Raw genomic sequence first — 9,360 nt, 5'->3', positions numbered from 1 at the left:
TCTGGCCTGAGCGACAGAGCGAGCCTCTGTCTTACAACAGCAACAAAAACAACAACTTGTAATCTCACCTCATAGATAAGATTTTGTTGTACACACTTTTTCCTTGGAAACAGATTGTACATGCTATTTTATAATTTGTATTATTCCCATGATAATGTGATGGGAACTTTACTAAAAAGTTCTAAATTCAAGACCAGCCTGGGCAACCTAGTGAGGCCCCATCTCTACAAAATGAAAAAAAAAAAAAGAAATTAACAATGCATGGTGGCTTGCTCCTGTAGTCCCAGCTATTCAGGAGGCTGATGTGGGAGGATCACTTGAGCCCAGGAGGTCCAGACGGTGGGGGGCAGTGATTGCGCCACTGCACTCCAGCCTGGGGAACAGAGTGTAATTGTATTTTGCCACACTGCACAATATCACTTTCAATGGTTGTTTAGTATGTTCGAGTATGAATGTATATAGTTCATTTAATCAGTTTACTCTCTTGTTAACAGTACATGAGTCTGACTATTCACACTCTTGCCTACCGTGGGTATTATTATTTTGTCAATCTGCTGCATTCATTCAACACATAGATATTGATTACTAACCATGTACTAGGCATATTCTCAGTGCTTGGGATAGATTATTGAAAAAAACAACCTCTGATCTCATGAAACTTATATTTGAGTGGAGGACATGTACATACATGATAAATGTTATAAATAAGTAAATCCTTTAGCATTTTAGAAAGCAAAAAGTGCTATAGTTAAAAAAAAAACAGAGCAAGTTAAAGGAGTAGGGAGTGGAGAAGATTGTAGTTTTTTAATTTTAAATTTATTGTAGAGGTGACATCTCCCTGTGTTGCCCAGGCTGGTCTCTAACTCCTAGGCTCAAGCAGTCTTCCTGCCTCAGCCACCCAAAATGCTGGGGTTAACGGTGTGAGACACTACACCTGGCCAAGGATTGCAGTTTTCATTTTTATTTTTATTTTTTGAGAAAGGGTCTTGCTCTGTCACCTAGGCTGGAGTGCAGTGGCATGATCTCAGCTCACTGCAACCTTCATCTCCCAGGCTCAAGTGATCCTCCTGCCTCAGCCTCCTAAGTAGCTGGGACTACAGGCCCATGACACCAAGCCCAGACGTATTTTTTTTGTAGAGACAGGGTTTCACCATGTTGCCCAGGCTGGTCTCGAACTCCTGGGTTCAAGTGATCCTCCTGCCTTGGCCTACCCAAGTGCTGGGGTTACAGGTGTGAGCCCCTGTGCCTGGCCAAGGGTTGCAGTTTTAATTAGAGAAACCAAGGTAAGCCTAATTGAGAAGGGGGCATTGCAAGACTTGAATCAAGTTATTTGAATTTGCAATTTTATTATTACTATAGCTGATATGGTTTGGATCTGTGTCACCACCCAAATCTCATGTTGAATTGTAATCACGAGTGTTCGAGGTGGGGCCTTGGTAGGAGGTGATTGGCTCATGTGGATGGGTTTCCTCTTGGTACTGTCCTCATGATAGTGAGTTCTGGAGAGATTTTGTTGTTTAAAGTGTGTGGCACCTCCCCCACCTCCCTCTTGCTCCTGTTGCCACGATGTGAGATGCCTCCATCCCCCTTTGCCTTCTGCCATGACTGGAAGCTTCCTGAGGCCTCCCCAGAAGCAGAGGCTGCTATGCTTCCTGTACAGCCTGCAGAACTGTGAGCCAATTAAACCTCTTTTCTTTATAAATTACCCAGTCTCAGGTATTTCTTTATAACAGTATGAGAATAGACTAATACAATAGCTAAACTTTCTTTCATATGTTTATTCTTTTTTTTTTTTTTTTTGTGATGGAGTCTCTCTCTGTTGCCCAGGCTGGAAGGCAGTGGTGTGATTTTGGCTCACTGCAACCTCCGCCTCCCAGATTCAAGCAATTTTCCACCCTCAGCCTCCCGGGTAGCTGGGACTACAGGCGTGCACCACCATGCCCGGCTAATTTTTGTATTTTTAGTAGAGATGGGGTTTCGCCTTGTTGGCCAGGCTGGTTTCAAACTCCTGGCCTCAAGTAATCCACCCGTCTTGGCCTCCCAAAGTGCTGGGGTTACAGGCGTGAGGCACCACACCTGGCCTACATACCTTAATGTAAAAATACTTTATTGGTTCCCAGTTTCTATGTGCATAGAAGATGGGAGGTCCTCTTTCTGTGCCTATTACAGCTGTGGCTTCCGGTCCCAAGCAGCATCTGAAGCGGGTAGCAGCTCCACAACGTTGGATGCTGGATAAATTGACTGGTGTGTTTGCTGCTCGTCCATCCACTGGTCCCCAAAAGCTGAGAGAGTGTCTCCCTCATATTTTCCTGAGGAACAGACTTAAATATGCCCTGACAGGAGATGAAGTGAAGAAGATTTGCATGCAGTGGTTCATTAAGGTAGATGGCAAGGTTCGAACTGATATAACCTACCCTACTGGATTTATGGATGTCATCAGCATTGACAAGACGGGAGAGGGTTTCCGTCTGATCTATGGCATCAATTGTCGCTTTGCTGTACATCGTGTTACACCTGAGGAAGTCAAGTACAAGTTATGCAAAATGAGAAAAATCTTTGTGTGCACAAAAGGAACCCCTCACCTGGTGATTCACGATGCTCACACTATCCGCCACCCTGATTCCCTCATTAAAGTGAACGACACCATTCAGATTGATTTGGAGACTGGCAACATCACTGCTTTGAAGTTCGACACTGGTAACCTGTGTTTGGTGACTGGAGGTGCTAACTGGGGAAGAATTGGTGTGATCACCAATAGAGAGAGGCACCCTGGATCTTTTGACACGATTCACGTGAAAGATGCCAACAGCAACAGCTTTTCCATCATTTTTGTTATTGACAAGGGCAACAAACCATGTATTTCTCTTCCCCGAGGAAAGGGTATCCGCTTCACCATTGCTGAAGGGAGAGACAAGAGACTGCAGCCAAACAGAGCAGTGGATGAAATGGTCTGTGGGTGACATGTTAGATCTTCGTATGTAATTTAAAATAATATGGCATGATTAAAAAAATAAGTAAAAATACTTTATTGCTAGAAAATGCTAACCATCTCTCTGAGCCTTCTGCGAGTCATAATCTTTTTGCTGGTGGAGGGTCGTGCCTTGATATTGATGGTTGCTGACTGATCAGGGCAGTTGTTGCAAGGCTGGGGTGACAATTTCTTAAAATAAGACAATAAAATTTGCCACACCGATGGGCTTCTTCACAAAATATTTCTCTGTAGCATGCAGTGCTGTGTGATATCATTGCATATAGTGCTTCTTTCAAAGTTAGAGTTGATCCTCTCAAACACTACCACCTTTTTATCAACTATGTTTATGGAATATTTGAAATCCTTTGCCGTCATTTCAACAATGTTCATAGCATCTTCACCAGGAGCAGATTCCATCTCAAGAAACCACTTTCTGGTTGGGCGTGGTGGCTCATGCCTGTAATCCCACCACCACATCCAGCTAATTTTTGTATTTTTAGTACAGATGGGTTGGGGGTGGGGGTTTCACCATGTTGACCAGGCTGGTCTTGAACTCTTGCCCTTAAGTGATCCTCGGCCTCCCAAATTGGTGGGATTACAGGCGTGAGCCACCATGCCCGGCTGGTGATTCATTTTTGTGTGTCATATGACATAGCAAACATTATTTTTCCTGAATATTTGTATTATTGTATCAGGTTGTATTGACAGCATTTGTTAAGCATTTTATGCCATTACTGCTTATTGGCGGGGTCTCACTCTGTCGCCCACGGTGGAATGCAGTGGCATAATCACGGCTCACTGCAGCCTCCACCTTCTGGGCTCAAGCAATCCTCCTGCCTCAGCTTCCCAAAGTGTTGGGATTACAGGCATGACCCACTGTGCCGGGCCAGATTTTTATTTTTTATTTTTTTTGAGACAGTCTCACGCTGTCTCTCAGGCTGGAGTGCAGTGGTGTGATCTCAGCTCACTGCAACCTCCACCTTCTGGGTCCAAGTGATTCTCCTGCCTCAGCTTCCCGTGTAGCTGGGATTACAGGCATGTGCCACCATGCCCAGCTAATTTTTGTATTTTTAGTAGAGACGGGGTTTCACCATGTTGGCCAGGCTGGTCTCGAACTCCTGACCTCAACTGATCCACCCACCTCGGCCTCCCAAAGTGCTGGGATTACAGGCGTGAGCCACTGCACCCGGCGTTTTTTAGTTTTTAAATTCTGTTCCATTGATCTGTCTGTTTTGTCTTGTGCCATTGCCACATTGCATTACAATTTCTACCTTTATGATTTTTTAATATCTGCCAGGTAAGATCGATATTGTCTCGTTTTGCAAGGAGCCATTCACCATACTTGTTGAGTGCTTGCTCTGCACCAGGCTTTGTCCTGGGCACTGAAAGTGCGATGTTGACCTACATGGTCTTTCTCTCTCATAGGTCTTGGAGACACAGGCAGACACACAGGGTGGTAATTACAACCTGCCTGATCAGCAGTGCAGCAGGGAGGGCCGGAGCATGGTGGGACACATCTATCCATGTTCCTGCCTTTGTGCCCAGGCACGCTGCTCCTGTTACTGTAGATGGACTTTCTGGCTCTTGTCTGAGGCCCGCCCCTGACCAGGCGCCAGATCCTTTCCCCTCTTGCCTTCTCAAGGACCCACTGAAGCAATTCCCTCTTTTCTTTCCTGCACCATCAACGGATATTTCCTTCTCTACTGGAATATTCCCATTAGCTTATGTGGATCATGAGTGAATTCCTTTCATTGCACCATGTTCTCCAATTACCATCCATTTCTCTGCTTTGTTTATGGCCCAAATCCTTGAGTTATCCATCTTCACTGTCTCCAGTTCTCCTCCCATTCCAGTGGGGCGTCACCTCCACCACTCCTCCAATACCTCTCATATCAAGGTCACCAGTGACCTCCCTGCACCTGTTCAGTTCACTTGCTCATGGTACTTGACACCCCAACAGCATCGGACACAGCTCGTCACTCCCTTCTGGAGAACATTTCTCCACTTGGCTTTACACATGCCACTCTCTTGGGTTTCCTTCGACTTTACTGGTCACTGCTCAGAGTCCTTTGCTGTTTTCTCTTTATTCTCCCCAACTATATTTTACTTACTTATTTTTTTGAGATGGAGTCTCGCTCTGTTGCCCAGGCTGGAGGGCAGTGGCATGATATGGGCTCACTGTGACCTCCGCCTCCCGGGTTCAAGTGATCCTCCTGCCTCAACCTCCCAAGTAGCTGGGATTACAGGCACGTGTCACCATGCTCAGCTAACTTTTTTGTATTTTTTAGCAGAGGCTGGGTTTCACCATGTTGGCCAGGCTGGTCTCGAACTCCTGACCTCAAGTGCTCTGCCCACCCTGACCTCCCAAAGTGTTGGGATTACAGGTGTGAGCCACTGTGACCGGCCATATTTCTCCCAATTCTAAATGCTGGAGTGCCCCAGGGCTTAGATCTTAGGTCTTTTCTCTGTCTGCACTTACTCCTAGCCTCAAGACTTTAACTATCATTTCTAATGATGGAAATATCTTCTCAAATCATGGAAACTTCAACTTTATATCCCCTGTTCAGACTTCTCCCCTGAGCTCCAGACTTGTCTATCACTTGTCTCCTTACATCCCACTTGGATGTCCCACGGTTATCTTATCTCAAACTCAGTATGTCCCACACTGTACTCCTGAGGCAACCACATTGCTCTTTCCATACCTCTTTATATCTCTGTACATGGCAACTGCATTCTTTAAGCTGCTCAGGTCAAAAACTTCAAAGCAGCCGGGTGTGGCAGCTCACATCTGCAACTCCAGCACTTTGGGAGGCCAAGGTCAGAGGATCGCTTGAGCCCAGGAGTTCGATATCAGCCTGGGCAGCACAGTGAAGCTCTGTCTCCACAAAAAATACAAAAAATAAAAATTAGCCAGGCGTGGTGGCACATGCCTGTAGTCTCAGCTACCTGGGAGGTTAAGGTGGGAGGACTGCTTGAGCCAGGGAGGTCGAGGCTGCAGTGAACCGTGATTATGCCATTGCACTACAGCCTAGAAGAAAGAGCAAGACTGTCTCAAAAAACAAACAAGCAAACAAAAAATTCAAAGCTATTCGCGACTCTTCTCTTTACCACACAGCTCACATAGACTTCATTAACAGACTCTGGACTCTCCCACTCAAATCCAGAACCTGACCAAGGTTCACAACTTCTGTCTTGCCATCCTTTTCAAGCTGCCATGATTCCTCACTTGGATTTTCATAGTGGCCTCCTGATGGCTCTCTCTGCCTCTGTCCTCACTCCCCTTAGTTGTCTAAGAGTAATGCTTTTAGAACGTAAATCACATTATGTCACATTTCTGCTCAAAACCCAATGGTGCCTCTTTTGCCAATGGTGCCTCTTTGTTGTAAGGACCCAGTCCAAGTCCTTACAACAGCCTACAAGACTGCGCTTGATTCTGCATCCCCCAATCTACTTCTCTAACTTTCTCTGCCACCATTTCTACCCTAGCCTTATTGGACTCCAGACACATTGGCCTACTTGCTCTTCTCTGAAGGCCAAGCACTTGACCCTTTCAGGACATATCCTCATGGCTCATCTTGTCACCTCCTTTTGGATTTTGTGCAAATGACAGTGAAACTTTTTTTGATCATCTATTGATAATTTTAACATCATCCCATCCACTTTCCATCTTTAATTAATTACTTAATTAGTTTATTTATTTATTTGTAGAGACAGGATTTCGCCATATTGCCCAGGCTGGTCTCCAGCTCCTGAGCTCAAGCAATCTACCTGCCTTGGCCTCTCAAAGTGCTGGGATTACAGGAGTGAGCAGCCTGCCTGGCCTTTATTTATTTTTTATCTAACTCATTACCAGCTTCTAACTCAATACCAGCTAACATACTCTATTTTTTATTTTTTTAAAACCTATTTGTTTATTTCCCACTAGCCTGCAAATTTCTAAGGGCAGAGATTTCATCTGTTAAATTCCAGGTTGTTTATACAGCTCCTAGAGCCATGCCTGATGTATAACACATGCCCAGTAAATATTTGTTGAATGAGTGATGTCCTTGAATATTGAAATTGATATGTCTGAAGTTTCTACAATTTCTTAAATGAGTTTATTTCTAAGGAAATAATCCCCTTTATCTTAAGTCATTGAATTTTTTACTCTGACAATTTTTGGGTTTGCCTTTCTAGAGGAGTTATGTGGGTGTCTGTTTCAAAGATTTTAGGTCAAGGTGAGAGAAAAAGAGACTAGTTTGAATTTGTTGGAGGTTTATTTTTTCAGACAGTTACGGTTGCCCTTGTAAAGCGGAAAGAGAGCTCACCCAGAAGTGGCCAAGGACAGGAAACTTCCCTGTGATGCGGAAGGGTTCCCCTTACCCTTTTGTTATTATTATGGAAGTGGTAGTGGCAGGAGTGGCCACAGTGAGGTAGATAATAATTGCAAGCATTTACAGAATGCTTCACTGAGTGCCAAGCCCTGTGAGTGGGCTTGACTGCACTTTCTTATTTATTTATTTATTTATTTATTTATTTATTTATTTATTTTTTGTGACAGAGTCTTGCTCTGTCACCCAGGCTGGAGTGCAGTGGCGCGATCTCAGCTCACTGCAAGCTCCACCTCTCGGGTTCATGCCATTCTCCTGCCTCAGCCTCCCGAGTAGCTGGGACTACAGGCACCCGCCACCACGCCCGGCTAATTTTTTGTATTTTTAGTAGAGACGGGGTTTCACCGTGTTAACCAGGATGGTCTTGATCTCCTGACCTCATGATCTGCCTGCCTTGGCCTCCCAAAGTGCTGGGATTACAGGTGTGAGCCACCACGCCCGGCCAGCACTTTCTCATTTAAACCTTATAAACCAGGTACTATTATCATTATCATTCTAACTTCATAAATGGTAGACCTAAAGCTTTTTTTCTTTTTCTGGGCAGGGTCTCACTATGTTGCCAGGCTGGTCCAAACTCCTGGGCTTAAGCAATCTGCCTGCCTTGACCTCCCAAAGTGCTGGGATTACAGACATGAGCCACTGCACCCAGCCTGACCTGAAGCTTAAATAAAGGTAATGCACAGCCAGCCCCCCACAATGATCCCCACCTCCTGGTATTCACATACTCATGTAGTCCCCTCCCATCTTGTACCAGGGTTAACCTGTGGGACCAATTACATACAGCAGAAGTGAGGCTGTCCTTCTTATGAGATTAGGCATAAAAGACTGGCTTCCTTCTTGAGCACTGTCTTGTCTTGCGTGCTCTCTCTCTCTCTCCCTCAGATCACTTGTCCTATGGAATGTCAGCTGCCATATTGAGAGCATACTCAAGCAGCCCATGGAGTGACCCATGGGATAAGAAACAGAGACCTCTGCCTAACAGCCAGTGAGGCATTGAGACCTGCTGTATTAGTCTGTTCTCATGCTGCTAATAAAGACATACGCAAGACTGGGTAATTTATGAAGGAAAGAAGTTTAATTGACTCACAGTTTCACATGGCTGGGGAGGCCTCACAATCATGGCAGAGGGCAAAGGGGAAGCAAGGCATGTCTTACATGGCGGCAGGCAAGAGAGAGCTTGTGCAGGGGAACTCCTGTTTATAAAACCATCAGATCTCATGTGACTTATTCACCACCATGAGAACAGCAAGGGAAAGACCCACCTCTATGATTCAATTACCTCCCACTGTGTCCCTCCCACAACACGTGGGGATTATGGGAGCTACAATTCAAGATGAGATTTGGGTGGGGACACAGCCAAACCCTATCACCTGCTAACTACCCATGCATGAACTTGGAAGTGGATTCTTTAACCCCATTTGAGCCTTCAGATGGTTGGTGGTAGCCCTGGCTGGCACCTTGACTACAACCTTCTGAGAGACTCTGAGCCCAAGCCACCCAGCTAAGCTGCCCCAGGATTCCTGATCCTTAGACATTGCAGGAGATGTTAAATGACAATTATTTAAGCTACTAGGTTTTGGCATAGTGTGTTATGCATCAGCAGATAACCAATATAGGTAACTTGCTCAAGATCATGCTGTTGATAAGTGGTAGAACTAACATTTGAACATGGGCTTGTCTGACTTCGGACCACTGGGCTCCATTGCCATGGTGACATCCACAGTATAGACTCTGCTCACCCCTGGCCTGTTGGGAACTGCCACTGAGTTGTGGGGCTTGCCATGACCTGCAGGACTGAGACTGGGGCTGAGAACCGACCCCGTGACTTCTAGGACATGTTTCATTCATTCTCAATGTGGGAAAATTTAACCTATTTTATATTCCCTGAGTTATCTCCATAAACATTTGTGGTGAGTTATCACCATAAACATTTGTGGAAAGCACATTTAAGATGTGGGTTGTGACTTCCAACTGGAACCAGATATCTAGACTTCGTTTATGGACCATGGGTCAGCAAAC

At 45.3% G+C, this 9,360-nt stretch overlaps 1 pseudogene; it reads left to right on the top strand.

The window, feature by feature from the left end:
• RPS4XP21 (ribosomal protein S4X pseudogene 21) lies at positions 2,121-3,006 on the top strand (annotated as a pseudogene).

This window comes from Homo sapiens, chromosome 19, assembly GCF_000001405.40.
Source record: "Homo sapiens chromosome 19, GRCh38.p14 Primary Assembly".
NCBI lineage: Eukaryota > Metazoa > Chordata > Mammalia > Primates > Hominidae > Homo > Homo sapiens.
This window is presented reverse-complemented; position numbering and strand designations above follow the sequence as displayed.